Source organism: Homo sapiens, chromosome 5 (assembly GCF_000001405.40).
Source record: "Homo sapiens chromosome 5, GRCh38.p14 Primary Assembly".
NCBI lineage: Eukaryota > Metazoa > Chordata > Mammalia > Primates > Hominidae > Homo > Homo sapiens.
Genome location: NC_000005.10, coordinates 39,262,695 through 39,283,169, shown reverse-complemented (window position 1 = coordinate 39,283,169; position 20,475 = coordinate 39,262,695). Strand labels below are relative to the sequence as shown.

Genomic DNA, 20,475 nt, shown 5'->3' with positions numbered 1-20,475 from the left:
GAAGTGGGATGGGTATTTATGTTCACTAGGACCTGATGGATAAAGGAAGCTCAGAGTTTTGCTACATTTTTACACTTTTCCCTTTTTATACTCAAAATTCAGGTCACTTATTTATTCTAGTGATCACAGAGTAGACAGTCAACATACACCTGTTGTCTAGTGTTCGACGTGTGGGTCAGCATTCTCACCCTGGCTTTACACAATTGTCTCCCCTGCAAGCCCTTTTAATTGTTTAATGGGACCCAACAATAGCATCTCCTAAATTAGTCTCCCAATATTTACTTATGAAAACAGCCCAAAATGGTAAATGATATGGTCTGGCTCTGTGTTGCCACCAAAATCTCATCTCAAATTGTAATCTCCATGTGTCAAAGGAAGGACCTGGTGGGAGGTGATTGGATCATAGGGGCAGTTTCCCCCATGCTTTCCTTGTGATAAGTGAGTCAATTCTCACGAGAGCTGATCAAAGGCTAGTTCAGTTTTTTTCCTTAATGAAACAATTTTTATATACACATGTAATTCACAGGACAGTCAAATATCTGTCCTATGACAGATATTTGGCCCCCACTCTTTGCTCTTCCACCCCCACCTCATGCCCATTACCTACCATTATGCTAAGAGCAGCAAAATGGCCCAAGAAAAGGGGATGGCATGGCTATTTAACAATGGGCAAGTTACTAAACCCTTAAGCCCTAAAATATGCTCAGGGAAAATAATATCTCTTTCCTAGAACTGTTAGGTTGATTTACTGAGATCATTTATACTGTAACCGACTGGAAAAGCAATAAATAGTAATAGTGGCTATTACTATTATTAGAACACATGACTATTAGTCAAAAATCTTCAAAGTATAACTAACATTTGTGACATTAGATACATCAGTGTATTTTGCAACTTTTTTGGCCTAATCTTCTTTTGGGATAAAAACTGGGAATGAAGAAAGGAAGGAAGGAAAGAAAGGCAGAGACAGAGACAGACAGAAGAGTAGAAAGAAAGAAAGAAAGAAAGAAAGAAAGAAAGAAAGAAAGAAAAAGAAAGAAAGAAAGAAAAAGAAAGAAAGAAAAGAAAGAAAGGAAGGAAGGAGGGGGGGAGGGAGGGAGGAAGGAAGGAAGGAAGAAGAAAGAGAGAGAGAAGGAAGGAAGGAAGAAGGAAAGAAGGATGGAAGGAAGGGAAGGAAAGAAAGAAAGGAAGAAAAAAGAAAGGAAAGAAAGAAGAAAGAAAGAAAGAGAGAGAGAAAAAAGAAAGAAAAAAAAGAAAGAAAGAGAAAGAAAGAAAGAAAGAAAGAGGTGGAGCCAAGATGGCTGAATAGGAACAGCTCCAGTCTACAGCTCCCAACATGAGCGACGCAAAAGACAAATGATTTCTGCATTTCCAACTGAGTTACCGTGTTCATCTCACTGGGGCTAGTCAGACAGTGGGTACAGGAGAGTGGGTGCAGCGCACCAAGTGTGAGCCGAAGCAGGGCAAGGCATCGCCTCACCCAGGAAGTGCAAGGGGTCAGAAAATTCCCTTTGTTAGCCAAGGAAAGAGGTGAAAGAGGGCACCTGGAAAATCGGGTCACTCCCACCCTAATACTGCACTTTTCCAACAGTCTTAGCAAACGGCACACCAGGAGATTGTATCCTGTGCCTGGCTCAGAGGGTCCCACACCCACAGAGCCTCGCTCATTGTTAGCACAGCAGTCTGAGATCAAACTGCAAGGCGGCAGCGAGGCTGGGGGAGGGGCGCCTGCCATTGCTGAGGCTTGAGTAGGTAAACAAAGCTGCCTGGAAGCTCAAACTGGGTGGAGCCCACCGCAGCTCAAGGAGGCCTGCCTGCTTCTGTAGACTCCACCTCTGGGGGCAGGGCATAGCCAAACAAAAGGCAGCAGAAACCTCTGCAGACTTAAATGTCCCTGTCTGACAGCTTTCAAAAGGGTAGTGGTTCTCCCACCATGCAGCTGGAGATCTGAGAACGGACAGACTGCCTCCTCAAGTGGGTCCCTGACCCCTGAGTAGCCTAACTGGGAGGCACCCCCCAGTAGGGGCAGACAGACACCTCACACGGCCGGGTACTCCTCTGAGACAAAACTTCCAGAGGAATGATCAGGCAGCAAAATTTGCTGTTCACAAATATCTGCTGTTCTGCAGCCTCTGCTGCTGATACCCAGGCAAACAGGGTCTGGAGTGGACCTCCAGCAAACTCCAACAGACCTGCAGCTGAGGGTCCTGACTGTTAGAAGGAAAACTAACAAACAGAAAGGACATCTGAACCAAAACCCCATCTGTACGTCACCATCGTCAAAGACCAAAGGTAGATAAAACCACAAAGATGGGGAAAAAACAGAGCAGAAAAACTGAAAATTCTAAAAATCAGAGGGCCTCTCCTCCTCCAAAGGAACGCAGCTCCTCACAAGCAACAGAACAAAGCTGGTTGGAGAATGACTTTGACGAGTTGAGAGAAGAAGGCTTCAGAAGATCAAACTACTCCGAGCTAAAGGAGGAAGTTAGAACCCATGGCAAAGAAGTTAAAAACCCTGAAAAAAGATTAGACGGATGGCTAACTAGAAAAATTGATGCAGAGAGGTCCTTAAAGGATCTGTTGGAGCTGAAAACCATGGCACAAGAACTACATGATGAATGCACAAGCATCAGTAGCCGATTCAATCAACTGGAAGAAAGGGTATCAGTGACGGAAGATCAAATGAATGAAATGAAGCGAGAAGAGAAGTTTAGAGAAAAAAGAATAAAGAGAAACGAACAAAGCCTCCAAGAAATATGGGACTATGTGAAAAGACCAAATCTATGTCTGATTGGTGCACCTGAAAGTGACGGGGAGAACGGAACCAAGTTGGAAAACACTCTGCAGGATATTATCCAGGAGAACTTCCCCAATCTAGCAAGGCAGGCCAACATTCAGATTCAGGAAATAAAGAGAACGCCACAAAGATACTTCTCGAGAAGAGCAACTCCAAGACACATAATTGTCAGATTCACCAAAGTTGAAATGAAGGAAAAAATGTTAAGGGCAGCCAGAGAGAAAGGTCTGGTTACCCACAAAGGGAAGCCCATCAGACTAACAGCTGATCTCTCAGCAGAAACTCTACAAGCCAGAAGAGAGTGGGGGCCAATATTCAACATTCTTAAAGAAAAGAATTTTCAATGCAGAATTTCATATCCAGCTAAACTAAGCTTCATAAGTGAAGGAGACATAAAATACTTTACAGACAAGCAAATGCTGAGAGATTATGTCACTACCAGGACTGCCCTAAAAGAGCTCCTGAAGGAAGCACCAAACATGGAAAGGAACAACCGGTACCAGCCACTGCAAAAACATGCCAAATTGTAAAGACCATCAAGGCTAGGAAGAAACTGCATCAACTAACGAGCAAAATAACCAGCTAACATCATAATGACAGGAACAAATTCATACATAACAATACTAACCTTAAATGTCAATGGGCTAAATGCTCCAATTAAAAGACACAGACTGGCAAATTGGATAAAGAGTCAAGACCCATCAGTGTGCTGTATTCAGGAGACCCATCTCATGTGCAGAGACACACATAGGCTCAAAGTAAAGGGATGGAGGAAGATCTACCAAGAAAATGGAAAACAAAAAAAGGCAGGGGTTGCAATCCTAGTCTCTGATAAAACAGACTTTAAACCAACAAAGATCAAAAGAGACAAAGAAGGTAATTACATAATGGTAAAGGGATCAATTCAACAAGAGGAGCTAACTATCCTAAATATATATGCACCCAATACAGGAGCACCCAGATTCATAAAGCAAGTCCTTAGAGACCTACAAGGAGACTTAGACTCCCACACAATAATAATGGGAGACTTTAATACCCCACTGTCAACATTAGAGAGATCAACAAGACAGAAAGTTAACAAGGATATCCAGGAATTGAACTCAGCTCTGCACCAAGCAGTCCTAATAGACATCTACAGACTCTCCACCCCAAATCAACAGAATATACATTCTTTTCAGCACCACACCACACCTATTCCAAAATTGACCACATAGTTGGAAGTAAAGCACTCCTCAGCAAATGTAAAAGAACGGAAATTATAACAAACTGTCTCTCAGACCATAGTGCAATCAATCTAGAACTCAGGATTAAGAAACTTACTCAAAACTGCTCAACTGCATAGAAACTGAACAACCTGCTCCTGAATGACTACTGGGTAAATAATGAAATGAAGGCAGAAATAAAGATGTTCTTTGAAACCAACGAGAACAAATACACAACACACAAGAAGCTCTGGGACACATTCAAAGCAGCGTGTAGAAGGAAATTTACAGCACTAAATGCCCACAAGAGAATGCAGGAAAGATCTAAAATTGACACCCTAACATCACAATTAAAAGAACTAGAGAAGCAAGAGCAAACACATTCAAAAGCTAGCAGAAGGCATGAAATAACTAAGATCAGAGCAGAACTGCAGGAAATAGCGACACAAAAAACCCTTCAAAAAATCAATGAATCCAGGAGCTGGTTTTTTGAAAAGATCAACAAAATTGATAGACCACTAGCAAGACTAATAAAGAAGAAAAGAGAGAAGAATCAAATAGACGCAATAAAAAATGACAAAGGGGATATCACCACCAATTCCACAGAAATACAAACTACCATCAGAGAATACTATAAACACCTCTATGCAAATAAACTAGAAAATCTAGAAGAAATGGGTAAATTCTTGGACACATACACTCTCCCAAGACTAAACCAGGAAGAAGTTGAATCCCTGAATAGACCAATAACAGGCTCCGAAATTGAGGCAGTAATTAATAGCCTACCAACCAAAAAAAGTCCAGGACCAGAAGGACTCACAGCCAAATTCTACCAGAGGTACAAGGAGGAACTGGTACCATTCCTTCTGAAACTATTCCAATCAATAGAAAGAGAGGGAATCCTCCCTAAATCATTTTATGAGACCAACATCATCCTGATACCAAAGCCTGGCAGAGACACAACAAAAAAAAGAGAATTTTAGACCAATATCCCTGATGAACATCGATGCAAAAATCCTCAATAAAATACTGGCAAACCGAATCCAGCAACATATCAAAAAGCTTATCCACCATGATCAAGTGGGCTTCATCCCTGGGATGCAAGGCTGGTTCAAGATATGCAAATCAATAAACGTAATCCAGCATATAAACAGAATCAATGGCAAAAACCACATGATTATCTCAGTAGATGCAGAGAAGGCCTTTGACAAAATTCAACAGCCCTTCATGCTAAAAAACTCTCAATAAATTAGGTATTGATGGGATGTATCTAAAAATAATAAGAGCTATCTATGACAAACCCACAGTCAATATCATACTGAATGGGCAAAAACTGGAAGCATTCCCTTTGAAAACTGGCACAAGACAGGGATGCCCTCTCTCACCATTCCTATTCAACATAGTGTTGGAAGTTCTGGCCAGAGCAATCAGGCAGGAGAAAGAAATAAAGGGTATTCAATTAGGAAAAGAGGAAGTCAAATTGTCCCTGTTTGCAGACGACATGATTGTATATCTAGAAAACCCCATCATCTTAACCCAAAATCTCCTTAAGCTGATAAGCAACTTCAGCAAAATCTCAGGATACAAAATCAACGTGCAAAAATCACAAGCATTCTTATACACCAATAACAGACAAACAGAGAGCCAAATCATGAGTGAACTCCCATTCACAATTGCTTCAAAGAGAATAAAATACCTAGGAATCCAACTTACAAGGATATGAAGGACCTCTTCAAGGAGAACTGCAAACCACTGCTCAATGAAATAAAAGAGGACACAAACAAATGGAAGAACATTCCATGCTCATGGGTAGGAAGCATCAGTATCGTGAAAATGGCCATACTGCCCAAGGTAATTTATATTCAATGCCATCCCCATCCAGCTACCAATGACTTTCTTCACAGAACTGGAAAAAACTACTTTAAAGTTCATATGGAACCAAAAAAGAGCCCGCATTGCCAAGTCAATCCTAAACCAAAAGAACAAAGCTGGAGGCATCACGCTACCTGACTTCAAACTATACTACAAGGCTACAGTCACCAAAACAGCATGGTACTGGTACCAAAACAGAGATATAGACCAATAGAACAGAACAAAGCCCTCAGAAATAATGCCACATATAAACAACTATCTGATCTTTGACAAACCTGACAAAAACAAGAAATGGTGAAAGGATTCCCTATTTAATAAATGGTGTTGGGAAAACTGGCTAGCCATATGTACAAAGCTAAATCTGGATCCCTTCCTTACACCTTATACAAAAATTAATTCAAGATGGATTAAAGACTTAAGTGTTAGACCTAAAACCATAAAAGCCCTAGAAGAAAACCTAGGCAATACCATTCAGGACATAGGCATGGGCAAGGACTTCATGTCTAAAACACCAAAAGCAATGGTAACAAAAGCCAGAATTGACAAATGGGATCTAATTAAACTAAAGAGCTTCTGCACAGCAAAAGAAACTGCCATCAGAGTGAACAGGCAACCTACAGAATGGGAGAACATTTTTGCAATCTACTCATCTGACAAAGGGCTAATATCCAGAATCTACAAAGAACTCAAACAAATTTACAAGAAAAAAACAACCCCATCAAAAAGTGGGCAAAGGATATGGACAGACACTTCTCAAAAGAAGACATTTATGCAGCCAACAGACACATGAAAAAATGCTCATCATCACTGGCCATCAGAGAAATGCAAATCAAAACCACAATGAGATACCATCTCACACCAGTTCAAATGGTGATCATTAAAAAGTCAGGAAACAACAGGTGCTGGAGAGGATGTGGAGAAATAGGAACACTTTTACACTGTTGGTGGGACTGTAAACTAGTTCAACCACTCTGGAAGACAGTGTGGCGATTCCTCAGGGATCTAGAACTAGAAATACCATTTGACCCAGCCATCCCATTACTGGGTATATACCCAAAGGATTATAAATCATGCTGCTATAAAGACACATGCACACATATGTTTATTGTGGCACTATTCACAATAGCAAAGACTTGGAACCAACCCAAATGTCCATCAATGATAGACTGGATTAAGAAAATGTGGCACATATATACCATGGAATACTATGCAGCCATAAAAAATGATGAGTTCATTTCATTTGTAGAGACACGAATGAAGCTGGAAACCATCATTCTCAGCAAGCTATCACAAGGACAAAAAAGCAAACACCGCATGTTCTCACTCATAGGTGGGAATTGAACAATGAGAACACATGGTCACAGGAAGGGTAACATCACACACCGGGGCATGTCGTGGGGTGGGGGTAGGGGGCAGGGATAGCATTAGGAGATATACCTAATGTAAATGACGAGTTACTGGGTGCAGCACACCAACATGGCACATGTATACATATGTAACAAACCTGCACATTGTGCACATATACCGTAAAATTTAAAGTATAATTAAAAAAAAGTAGGAAAGAAAAAAGGAAGGAAGGAAGGAAGGAGAAAAAATGAGAAATAGATCCCTTTTGATGTGGGACCTTTTCTTTATTTTATTCATTAAAGATCAAATTATCATTAAACAAATGGCAAAAGCAATAAGCAACCCCATGAGAGTGTGTGTCAGTTAAATCTTGTCTTGGAGACTCACTGAAGCAAAGGGATTATGACTTAGAATTCTGCTTCTGTGAAACAAATGCAAGGACAAATGATGTGAGAAATCACGAGAAGAAAACAGCAGGACCCAATAGACCCATGGAGTTCATGCATCCCCAAAGACCCAAAGAGAGGGTGTGATACAAATAATGGACAAAATTACAAAAAACAAAGCAAGGTAATATATAACCTAGAATTCTTCTATAAGCTTTGTTGTCTCTTTGCTCTCCAGGTTAACTGGTTTGATAAAAACTCCTTAAGTGAAGTCTAGATTAATTTTTTCATTGTCCTATTTTAGCAGATTGTTTTTACTGTAGTAAATATTCACCTGGGATTGGGTTTAAATTGTAAAGACAAATGCTCCCTTCTTTTCTTGAGTTTCAATACAATCTACTCGTTCCATTAAAATGTGGTGGAAACTCTCTTTTTAATCAAAAGTAAGTTGATTAATAAGCTATTTCTTCCAGAACACTGATGTTCTGAAGAGTTAAGGCCCTCTTTCATTAAAAGTAGAAAGTACAAGAGTGAAAAAGTTCACTGTGTTTTTAAAACAAAAAGTGAAAGAGAAATAACCCAAATCAAGGAAGTCCCCACTTCCTCCTGCACAGCCTTCTTAAGCATGCCTGTTCTTATTCTGCTTTTTCCTGCTACTTCCCATTTGCTATTTCATATCTAGCCAAACAGGGAGACTGAATTTCCTTGAATTTTTATGAATCTGCTTGTAAGTTTCCTTTAATTTCATGATCAAAGAGCAGCTCTGTAGTGACTATCTCTTAGTATTTGGCGATATTTTAGCCAAAGGTTCTCTTATAGCTTCCCATAAATGATGGGCTTCAAGGAAGGTTGTAGATGCAGAATCAGTGTACAAAACAAACATTGCTTTCATCTGAGGAACTCACGAGGCAAAAAAAAAAGAAAAAGTGTTTTAAAAAAAGCTGACCTAGGACCTTAGAGTGAGAAAAGGAAGTATGAAAATTAATTCTCATTGGAGCAGTTTCCAATCTAGTTGAGGAGCCAAACCTAATACACCCAATACAATTAGAGAACCATAAAGGGCAAACATATTAAAAGAGCTTAATTTTGTAGTGTGGCCTGCAGGCTTCCAGAAAAAAACAGGAGATCAGTGAGCTAGCAGCAGAGAAGCCTTCCTGGAAAAGGTGAGATTCGACATCCCTCTGTTCTATCTCAGGGGTCTTAGCCAGGCACATTAATGTTGGGCACGTAGAGTAGATGGCTACTTGTTTCTTGTATAAAATGTTAGACATTCGGGTTATAAAAAAGAAAATGTATCGGAGTTTATAACTATTTCTAACCTTCTATGCTAACAGTTTTAACCATGCTTCTTTTAAAACCTAATACCTGTAATCCCAGCACTTTGGGAGGCCAAGGTGGGTGGATCATAAGGTAAGGAGTTCAAGACCAGCCTGGGCAAGATGGTGAAACCCCATCTCTACTGAAAATACAAAAATTAGCCAGGTGTGGTGGCACATGCCTGTAATCTCAGTTACTTGGGAGGCTGAGGCAGGAGAATTGCTTGAACCTGGGAGGCGGAGGTTGCAGTGAGCTGAGATCGTGCCACTGTACTCTAGCCTGGGGGACAGAGCAAGACTCTGTCTCAAAAAGAAAAAAAAAAAGCATAATAGATAAAACACTGACGATGCTTCTCAGTAATGATCATTAATATTACTCAAATTTTATTAGTGTTCTTTCCTTTATCTACTTGCAAGATGAGTTTAAAAAATGAAGTTGGTTTTCCCTAGCCACCCCATTCTTCTAGACCTCACAGTCTCCACCTAGCCACCACCTTCAGTGAGTACTGAAGGGGCAGACTCATTCATTGCACCATTGACTGAACAAAAACTGTTTTCTAAAATAAAAATGTATGAAAAGAGAGTGCATGCCCCAGTATTTAAAGAATTATAACTTATTTTGCATTCTGTAAGCTACTTCTCCCTTCTATTAGCAGGACTAATTGCAGTGCCCATACTGCGAAAACATAGGTTTATCATTTTCAGATGGTATCACTATGCTCTCTGTCATCTTTGTTGCATTTCCTGTTTCATCTTCCTGCTCAGGAACTTATGTACTGAGCTCTGGCTTCACAGGAGATATACTCACATATGTGATGTTTGACATATATTTTTCAAATAACATGATTATGCCTTAAAAACTAAATATGAAAATATACTTGTGGACTACAAGTTATAGTTGGGAGTTTCAACTCAACTTTTCTTTTTTTTTCCAAGGCAGAAGAATTTTTCTTAGTACAGAACAAAATGAAAAGTCTCCCATGTCCACTTCTTTCTACACAGACACAGCAACCATCCGATTTCTCAATCTTTTCCCCACCTTTTCCCCTTTTCTATTCCACAAAACCGCCATTGTCATCATGGCCCGTTCTCAATGAGCTGTTGGGTACACCTCCCAGACGGGGTGGTGGCCGGGCAGAGGGGCTCCTCACTTCCCAGAAGGGGCGGCCGGGCAGAAGCGCCCCCCACCTCCCGGACGGGGTGGCTGGCCGGGCGGAGGCGCCCCCCACCTCCCTCCTGGACAGGGCAGCCGGCCGGGTGGGGAACTTCTTTTTTTTTCTTAGCCAAAAATACTTTTCTTAAATATATGTGTTTGAAAGACCACTAAATTTATTTCAATAACAACTAAAAATTACCTTAATCTGCATTTGGAAATAAGCACAACTTGAAATGGAATTTAGATGGATGAATTGAAATTCAAAGTTCTCTTAACCAGAGACTTACCCAATAAATTACACTGTTAACTGAATAATTGCTAGATTCCTGTTTATCATGTAATTTGTGTCCAACTTACTGGTATAGAGAGGAAATTGTAGCATGACTAAGATTAAGTAATTCTTTTTTTTTTTTTTTTTTTTTTGAGATGAGTCTGGTTCTGTCCCCCAAACTGGAGTGCAGTGGCGCAATCTCGGCTCACTGCAAGCTCCGCCTCCCGGGTTCATGCCATTCTCCTGCCTCAGCCTCCCGACTAGCTGGGACTACAGGCGCCCGCCACTAGGCCCAGCTAATTTTTTGTATTTTTTTTTTTTTAGTAGAGACGGGATTTCACCGTGTTAGCCAGGATGGTTTCGATCTCCTGACCCCATGATCCGCCTGCCTCGGCCTCCCAAAGTGCAGGGATTACAGGCATGAGCCACCGCGCCCGGGCTGATTAAGTAATTTTTATGTAGTACATGGGGTAAACATGTTGATTAACTTAGTAGAGAACAGTGTCAGAGTGTCACGATTATTTCTACCCACAAGGCTGGCCTGGTGATCTGTTCACTATCTTGCTAGTATGAGTCACCTGCTCCTTCTTTTAAGGCAAAGGCTCTCAAATATGCACATACCTTGGAATCACATGGTGAGCTTTGAAATACACTGATGCCTGAGTTTCAACCCCAGATTTTCATATAATAACCTGGGGTGAAGCCTGGGAGCTGAGACTTAAAACATCCCAGGTGATTTTAATGTGCAGCCAGGTTGAGAACCACTGCTTTAGAGTGATTCTCTTTACCCTAAGCTGTATCTGCACTTTGATGATCTCTATTCTAACAGACAGTAGATAAGAGGCTTTCTAGTGAAAGTAAAGAATGTCTCCATTTCAAAGCATTCTGGAAAATGTGTTATACTTAAAAGTATGCCTGGGTCCCATACCTCGCTCTTGCTTTGCTCTTCCTCCTCTATTCATTCATTAAGCATGTATTATGTGTAAGATAATGTGCAATTTCAGATTCCTGACCATCCACCAGATTCTGACCATGCCTCACATCCCTCTTTATAATATGTAAAGTTTTCAGGACAATCTCAGTTTCTACTTCTGGAACTCAACCCCTACCCTGGCTTTTTGCCTGTCCTATTAATTTCTAATTATGTCTTAATTTTGAAAACATTTTTATTTTAAGGAATAAATAACAGGTAACATCTTTTTTGAAAAAGGATTTTGTATGGATATAGGATTAATTAGTGTTTGGTCAGCATCATGTATAGAAATTTGGTGACCTTACACTAAATAAGCACTGTAATACTTACAACAAGATCTGGAAATTTGCAACCACCAAAAAAGGAATCATGCCTTTCCTCTGCCATGGAAAACAAAGATGACCTTCTACCCTTGAACTTACTTTAGTAGAAGGCTAAATATTCCAATTAAAGGGGCCAAATCTGTATATCAGAATGTGTTCAGAGAGGTACATGGATGATTGGAAAGTCTGACTACTTGGGATCAAATACTATGCCCTTAACATCTGATGCTAACAAATATTACCCCAAAATTAATACATGAACCTAGACTGAGCTGTACTTTTTTTTTAGGGAAATGAATGGCATTCTATGATAAGCTTATGAGTGTTTCCTTCATTTAAATACTGGTAATATGAATTTAAATATAATTGGAGTTGCTTATTAAAATTTTCATATACTTTTGCTCTTTTTAATAATGATTATAGTTATGTTTTTACACAAGTGCTATATACCCAAGATAGAAAACTTGAAAAACTCCAAAAAGTACAAAAAAAGAATTATTTATAATAATATATCCACTCAAGTCAAATGCTATTCACATTTTGGTGTGAGTCTTTCATAGATAAGAGAGAGATGGAGACACACACACACACACACACACATATGTATCCAAAAATATAGAAGTTATATAAAACATTAATAATGTATAGCAAAATTTAATATCTAGGTACTTCTAAAAAATTTTGTGTCAATTTTTCAGTCTTCAAAGCTACATCTATACCTGTTCCTGTATTATTGAAAAATAATAACAAGATAAACCTGGCCAGCTATACAAATGCTCTGAGGGTTGAGATAACATGCAAATGTAGCCTCACATATCAATGTGTGAAAGCTGGACAGACCACACAGCTCAGAAAAGGAAGTACACTCTGCATAGCTAACTTGCACATTCACTATCCAAGCTGCACCATCTTCGGGGTCATTGTGTGCCAGGCATATCAACTCTTTTCAATAAAAATGGTAAGTAATAGATTTTATAACTCTCCTTGGTCTCCTGGCAAATGTGCTACTCTTCTCTGCATAGAACAGTCAGAGTTGAGGGTGCTTCACAGTCAGGTCCTCTGAGCCTTTGGGATTTTGCTTGGCCACTTTTTCCTTGTGCTGATGAAGCTGCTGAGTCTTGTTCATGCCAGTTGAGAGACATGGCTTCAAGAGTTCCCTTTTTTTGATTCTAGCCTTCAGAATAGGGGAAGAGCACTGTCTTGCAGAAAGAAAATATGCATTCTTTGTCTTTGCCTCATAGGATAGCTTGGTGCCAGCCCCAGTAATTTAGTCGAGTTTCCTGTTATGAGCAGTTTGGATCCCAGGAAAGGACTCCAGTGGCGAATGTTGGGAAACATTAATGATGGTGATTGCCATTTTGATAACACAGTAGATTTTACAAAGGGACCTCTTTTGTTTGAAAATGTATTTTTTTATTTTAATTAAGAGACGCAAAAAAAGCCCAAACAGTCTTAACCTTAAGGACAGATTGTCTTCTCAAAATTAATGGGAAGTCATTATTTGGAGCATACTTAAAATGGTGAGTGGGTTCCCAGCACTACTTTAACCCATAACATAGCTGAACTACAGCAGTAATATTCTGCTTCATAATTTTCCATTATTTCTTTGGGAAAAAAAAAGGAGGGCTCCCAAAATATATGTGGTGTTCATATGCTCTCAGAGTATAGAAGAGAGCTAATTTTCTGTCTTTGTCTGCTATTCCCCAGCCCCCAGAAGACTGGAAACTGGTTATTCCTTCTCTTATTACGGAGAGGATACCTGCCTTTTGTCAGCCCCCAGTGAGAAGACAGGAGTTGAGACGATGACTCCTGTGCTTGCTCAATTGGAGATTGTGCATTGCAGACATTGGAACAGGGAGAATAAAGGGATCATTCAATGATGTGTGATGTGACTGTGTATTGTCTGAAAGCACCTTGAGTTAGGATAGGGAAAGAGTAGAGGTGAGAGAGGGTAATCTTCCCATGGGGGAGAGAGGAAGAAGGAAGAGTGATAGCGTGCAAGTCACTGAGTCTTGAGAAGGGGAGTACACGGTAGAGGAAATGTTAGTGCATGACCCTGCCTGCGGCAACACCTGTAGAAGACAGTCTCAGGCTCAGGTGGGAGTGAGACTTATAAATCCCTCTACGTTTCCAAGTTTGGTCTTTAGGTCCGGGATTCCTAGAAAACAGCTTGACCTTGGCCAGATGTGGTGGCTCACGCCTGTAATCCCAGAACTTTGGGAGGCCGAGGCAGGCGGATCACGAGGTCAGGAGATCGAGACCATCCTGGCTAACACGGTGAAACCCCGCTTCTACTAAAAATCCAAAAAATTAGCTGGGCATCGTGGTGGGTGCCTGTAGTCCCAGCCACTCGGGAGGCCGAGGCAGGAGAATGGTGTGAATCCGGGAGGCAGAGCTTGCAGTGAGCCGAGATCACGCCACTGCGCTCTAGCCTGGGCCACAGAGCAAGACTCCATCTCAAAAAAGAAAAAAAGAAAAGAAAAGAAAACAGCTTGACCTTAAACAGGAGCACTGTGGTTTATAAAGTGCTATTTGGATTTTCTTAGGCAAAACAAGATAACAGCAGGAAAAAAGGAAGTTTAACTGGATAGCATGTATTTGGTATAATATATGAGTAACGATGTTTTTAAAGATTATTGTTTTCTTATAATAAAAGTAACATGGCTGGGCGTGGTGGCTCCTACCTGTAATCCCAGCACTTTGGGAGGCCGAGGCAGGCAGATCACCTGAGGTTAGGAGTTTGAGACCTGCCTGACCAACATGATGAAACCCCGTCTCTACTAAAAACACAAAATTAGCTGGGCATGGTGGCGCATGCCTGTAACCCCAGCTACTTGGGAGGCTAGGGAGCAGAATCGCTTGAACCTGGGAGACGGAGGTTGCAGTGGGCCGAGATCGCGCCATTGCACTCCAGCCTGGGCAACAAGAGCAAAATTCCGTCTCAAAAAGAAAAAAAAAATAACACATATTTCTCAAAAAAAACTTCTTAGAAATATAGATAATGGTCAGGCTCATGCCTGTAATCCCAATTTTTTGGGAGGTCAAAGTGGGAGGATTACTTAAGGAGTTCAAGACCAGCCGGGGCAACAAAGCAAGATGTCATCTCTATAAAAAATAAAGTAAAAAAATAAATCAGCCAGGCCTAGTGGTGCATGCCTGTTGTCCCACCTACTAGGGAGGCTGATGCAGGAGGATTATTTGAGCTCAGGAGTTCAAGGCGGCAGTGATGAATGATCATGTCACCACACTCCAACCCAGGCAACCCTGTATTCAAAAAAAAAAAAAAGAAAAAAAGAAATATAAATATACAGAAATGAAACATTAAGCGTGTTCTATAATTCTGTCAACTAAGGGACAATCACCAGGTTAGTACAGATCCTTCGAGAATGTCATCATTTTAAATGCATATTTTATAAATGTAATTTTATAAGTGTTATATACTTTATGAACTATTTCCTCACATTTTATTTAAAATATCTTTAATAATATTGGAGTTACAATGTAGTTTTTAATGATAAATCATTTTTAATAATTGTGTAGTAGCCCACAATTTGTTTTAATCAGTTCCATAGAGTTGGACATTTCAGTTGTCTCTTTTTCTTTCCTTATGGTGATATAGACAAGACTGTCACAAGCATTTTTTATATACTTTGTCTGATTATTTTGCATTGACAGAATTCCTAGCAAAGTAGCCAGGTGAAAACCTACATATATTTAAAACTTCTAACACAAGTTACCTTGTTGTTAAGCAGCATACTTTAAGTTTCTTACTATATAATGGCATAGTAAGTGAATTTCTCAGTGCAATTATGGCATATACATGCTTATCTTTGTATTCCCATGCCTATTTTTGTAGCATGAAAAGGTTATACTTCAAAATTAAGTTACTTCCCCTTAATTTCTTTCTCCCTAACATTGCTGCTGACATTCTTCAACAAGTGGCAGAAAGCCATGTAGCATATTAAAGAAAGGAAAAAACTCCATTTTTTCTCCTTGAAAGAGATCAGATACAGTCAACAGGCTATATCCCTGGCTTCTTGTTGACTTGTTTTGCTTACTACTTGTTTTCCATAAGTCACTTAAGCTTTGGGTTTGTTTCCTCATCCAATGATGGTGATGACGTGATGATGATGATGATGATGATGATGATGATGATGATGATGATGATAGCTATCCCACAGGATTGTTGTGGAGAGTAAGATTGCAATTATAAAGCCCCTGTGATAATACAGGCACATGCCGGGCACTGGATGGATGTTGGATTCCTGTATTTCAGCCCCAAATAAATAGTTTCCAAAGTATGCATAGAAACTCCTAGTGATTGCAGGAGAGTAATACTGGCAGTTAGCATTGCTAAGCCCTGACATACACTATCTCATTAAATTCCTCTAACAATTCCTGCAAATAGTTATTCCTATTCCCCCTGTTTTCTAGTTGAGTAAACTGAGTCTTGTAGAGAGTAAGTAATTTTCTAACAGCCACACAGCTACTGAATATTGGGCCTGGAATTTGAGGACGATTTTATCTGTTCTCAGAGCCGGAGCTCCTCTACATTTTGTTACGTCTCAGAAAAAGTAGATACCTAGGAAGACAAGCTGGTAGTCAAAGAAAAGCCCAGGACTGGCCTTTAGGGGTGTGCCAGGTCCATTCTCAGGCTGGTGACCATGTCTGGTAGGCTTGAGGATCAGCTGTCATGTCTGCTTCTGCTATGGTCACTATGAGTTTTCCTACTTTCAGAAAGTGCACTTTATTGAAATGTTGCAGAGGCCACTGGGATGAGAGACTGAAGGAATGCCTGGCTTTGTGGTTCTTTATCCCAGGATCCAGAAAGCGGGGCTTAATGACTACATAACTCCCTTCTCCACCCCAAGCTCATCTGCTGTGTCACCACTGTGACCAATCCCCACCTCCCCCACTTCCTGAACTGTCCAGGAAGGGAGCAAGCCAAAAGGGGACCAAGTGGTTATAAGGAAATTCACGTTTTATTGCCCTTTCCCTGTAACTTATTGGTAAGGAAACTGTGGAAATGTGTGAGAATGAAGCACAAAGGCACTTGGTGTTTTATGAAGATAGATACATTAGATATTTAGATTGATGGGCATTGGACACACGACACTGGGCTCATCTTCCAACCTAGCAAGGGGTGCTGGGTTCCAGCTCAACCTTCCCATTTCTCCCTGTGGAATCTTGACCCTATCTCTTCAGCCCTCTTTCAAGAGGCTCAGTCAAGATACAGAGTTGGCTTAGGTGTTCCCCTACATCCTTATTCATAGTGTGATTCTAGATTTTAGAAGTGGGAGAAGAGGCAGTAGAATTCTACTTTATCTGCCCCTGTGGAAATTGACTTAATCTATATCCTTAGATCAGCTCACTTTACAGTCCTAAAATGAAAACAATAGAATAATACTTGTTTACTTGGCAAGTAATTTTAGGTACATTTTAAATTGTAGAATTTTCTGGAAGAAATGAAGAAATAGATGTTCTAGTCATGTACAATTTTTTTTTGTATTTTATGCATAAACCTTAGGTCAGTAAAAAAAAAAAAAAACAGTAAAAATTGTGTTTGGGGTTTCTGGTTTGTTTTGTTCCTTTCATCCAGTTTTTAAGCTACATGGGAGCTCCTGAAAGGAGTGTAGTCAAATTGCACTGTCACTCATTCATTCAACAAAGGTTATTTGAGCTCCTACTTCAAGTCTGCACTCTGCTAGTCATTGGAATGCAGGGTGAACAACACATGGTGTCCAGGCTTCCCACGGGTTACACTTAGGGTAGTGGTTCTCAAACTTTAGCATGCATGAGAATCACTGGGAGGGTCAAGGATGGGGCCTGGAAATGTGCATTTCTTTTATTCATTTATTTATTTATTTTTGAGACAGAGTTTTGCTCTTGTTGCCCAGGCTGGAGTGCAATGGCGTGATCTTGGTTCACTGCAGCCTCCGCCTCCCAGGTTCAAGCCATACTCCTGCCTCAGCCTCCTAAGTAGCTGGGATTACAGGTGCCCACCACCATCCCCAGCTAATTTTTTTTTCTTTTTTTTTTTTTTGAGACAGAGTCTTGCTCTGTCGCCCAGGCTGGAGTGCAGTGGCGTGAACTCAGCTCACTGAAAGCTCCGCCTCCCGGGTTCACGCCATTCTCCTGCCTCAGCCTCCTGAGTAGCTGGGACTGTAAGCGCCCGCCATCACAACTGGCTAATTTTTTTTTTATTTTTTAGTAGAGATGGGGTTTCACCATGTTAGCCAGGTTGGTCTCGATCTCCTGACCTCATGATCCACCTGCCTCGGCCTCCCAGAATGCTGGGATTACAGGCGTGAGCCACCACACCTGGCCAGGCCCAGCTAATTTTTTGTATTTTTGGTAGAGATGGGGTTTCTCCATGTTGGCCAGGCTGGTCTTGAACTCCTGACCTCAGGCGATCCACCCACCTCGGCCTCCCAAAGTGCTGGGATTACGGGTGTGAGCCACCGAACCCGGCCAAAAATGTGCATTTCTAATAAGTTCTCAGATGAGGCTGACGCTGCTGGTCCAGGGCCCACGCTTGGAGAACCACTTTTCCTGGGAAGTAATAGATCAAAAACATCAAAGTGAACAAATAAATAAAATACCTTGCACTGAGCTCTGAAGGAGGCAAATGAGGAGCTGAGATAGAAAATGGAGGGGAGAAATCCTCTTGAGAGAGGTGTCTGGTCTCTGATGAGGGGATGTTCAGGCTGAAGCAGTAGTTCTCTACTCTGGCTGCACATGGGAATCACTACAGCAGCTTATAAAACATCCCTCTTCTCAGGCCCCGAAACCAATGAAACTGAAACTTGAGGTGGGGCTCAGTGAGGGTTGAGCATTGCTACACCAAAAAGTGAGAATGAGTTGGGCATGGGGTAAATGGGGGTAGAAAGCATTTCAAGCTGAGGAAGTGGCAGGTGCAAAAGAGGTGAGGCAGGAGAGAGCTTGGAGCTGTAAAAAGACCAGGATGGCTGGAGAATAGGCAAGAGAAGAAGAGAGTGACAAGAGATGGCTTTATGGAACAGGCAGTGGCCACATGAATGCTGGGTCTTAAGGCTGCCTTAGTCCATTTGGGCTGCCATAGCAAAACACCTTAGACTGGGTAGCTCGTAAACAACAGAAATTTATTTTTTACAGTTTTGCGGGCTACAAAGTCCAAGATCAGAATGCCAGATTGGTCATAGTCTTGTAAGGGCCCTCTTGCAGATTGCAGACTGCCAACTTCTTGCTGTGTCCTCACATACCAGAAGGAACAAATAAGCTCTTTTGGCTTCTCCTATAAGGATTATTATTATCCCATATGCATTAAGTGTGGATGGCAGCTCTATGCAAAAGAATGTTCATCTACCACTGCTTGAAATTGAAAATAATGGCAACAAGTCAAATGTTGGATTGAACTGCATGTGTCCAAAGGGATATGTCTTGAAAATATCCGAATGTAGAGTGAAAGAAGGCACAGAGTGAGGGCTCTGTCCTTACATCCAAGCACCTCCCCAAAGGCCTCACCTTCTAATACCATCATCTTGGAGGATAGGATTTTGACACATGAATTTTGGAGGGACACAAACATTCAGACCTGGAATTTGATCATACTGTTCACCAGAGCAGCCACTGGAGACACCTGAGCTGAGGAGTGGGTGCCATTACCTGCTTCATATTTTGAGGGTAGGGCTACTTCTGAAGTGACGTGCATCCTCTCCAGATAGCCTTGATCCTGGCTTGGGCCTTAAATATTGGCTTTGTTCCTGTTCTCCCTCAAAAGTGTGGCCCCAAATTTGACTACATCCAAGTTAGAAAGTAAGTACAGAATTTCTGAGGGGAACAGGTCCTAAGATGTGAAAATAAATAAACTGTAGGCCATGATGGAAGCCCCAGTTGAGAACTGGTGTCCCAGGGAAATCTGAGAGTATGGAAACGGAGCTAGAAGGTTCCCTGTGAGGGCTGGAGTTCTGATCCACTTCCTTCAATTAGAGAGGTGATTTTTTTTTCTTTTAGGTAAGCTGTGGAGGCCAATCATAGTCCTGAGTGATAGGCTAATATCACTCCACACACTTCCCTGTTGCCATCCCTGGCCTATTCATATCCTCTCCTTCTGCAAAAGAGGACACCTACCTTCTGCAGCAAGATCTATCCCACTGTGTTAAAAAAAAAAAATCCTGTACTATGACAAGTTAGTTTTAAGCCAAGGATAAGAGGCTCAAATTCTAGCTGATATCTTGCACTCATATAACACATCAGTGCATCTAGGAGGAGATGTGAGACACTTCTTAGAGCATGTGTTAGAATACACTAAATTTGTGGCACCCTTGCTCTTGAAGTGGGTAGGCATGGGGCTCCAGTTCTTGATTCGGCAACTTCAATATCACTTCCCCAATTCTAGCACTCCATTCCATCCGCCCTTTCTTTTCTCTCATGTCCTTCTCTTTTTAAATTATTATGAAACACATAATACAACAAATGCTCATATACTCACAACCTACAATTAATGCATATTACTGTTCTGGCATCTATTTTAAAACTAAAAAAGAGAAAATTAAAGTCCCTTTCTGCCCTTTTCCAGTTCTATGTCCCTCCTTCCCACAGCACAGAAACAACTATTTTTAAAGTGCCTTTCAGAATAGCCTTCCCAGCCATGGTTTTATGCTTTGATTTTATCTGTGTGTATCCATAAAACTTATAATATCTCCAAACATATAGTATTGTTTTGCCCAGATTTTTTTTCATGATTTCTGCACTTTGCCTTCTTTCACTCTACATTGGGTTTTTTTCAAGAATATCCCTTTGGACACATTCAATCTATTGAATTGCTGTGTAATTCTATTGTAATTTATTCAT

At 40.9% G+C, this 20,475-nt stretch overlaps 1 protein-coding gene across 10 annotated transcripts in view; it reads left to right on the top strand.

Moving 5' to 3' along the window:
* Positions 8,642 to 20,475, top strand: part of FYB1 (FYN binding protein 1) — a 169,277-nt gene continuing 157,443 nt past the window's right edge. For 7 of the 10 annotated variants that reach the window (XM_011514011.3, NM_001243093.2, XM_047417074.1 and 4 more), the window contains exon 1: positions 12,521 to 12,601. In XM_011514011.3, coding sequence (XP_011512313.1) covers positions 12,599 to 12,601 — 3 coding nt within the window. In that variant the 5' untranslated portion in view covers positions 12,521 to 12,598. Of the gene's footprint in view, positions 8,768 to 12,520; positions 12,602 to 20,475 lie in introns of those variants that run through there. The other 3 variants (XM_006714464.4, XM_047417073.1, XM_047417072.1) reach the window with 1 other exon arrangement.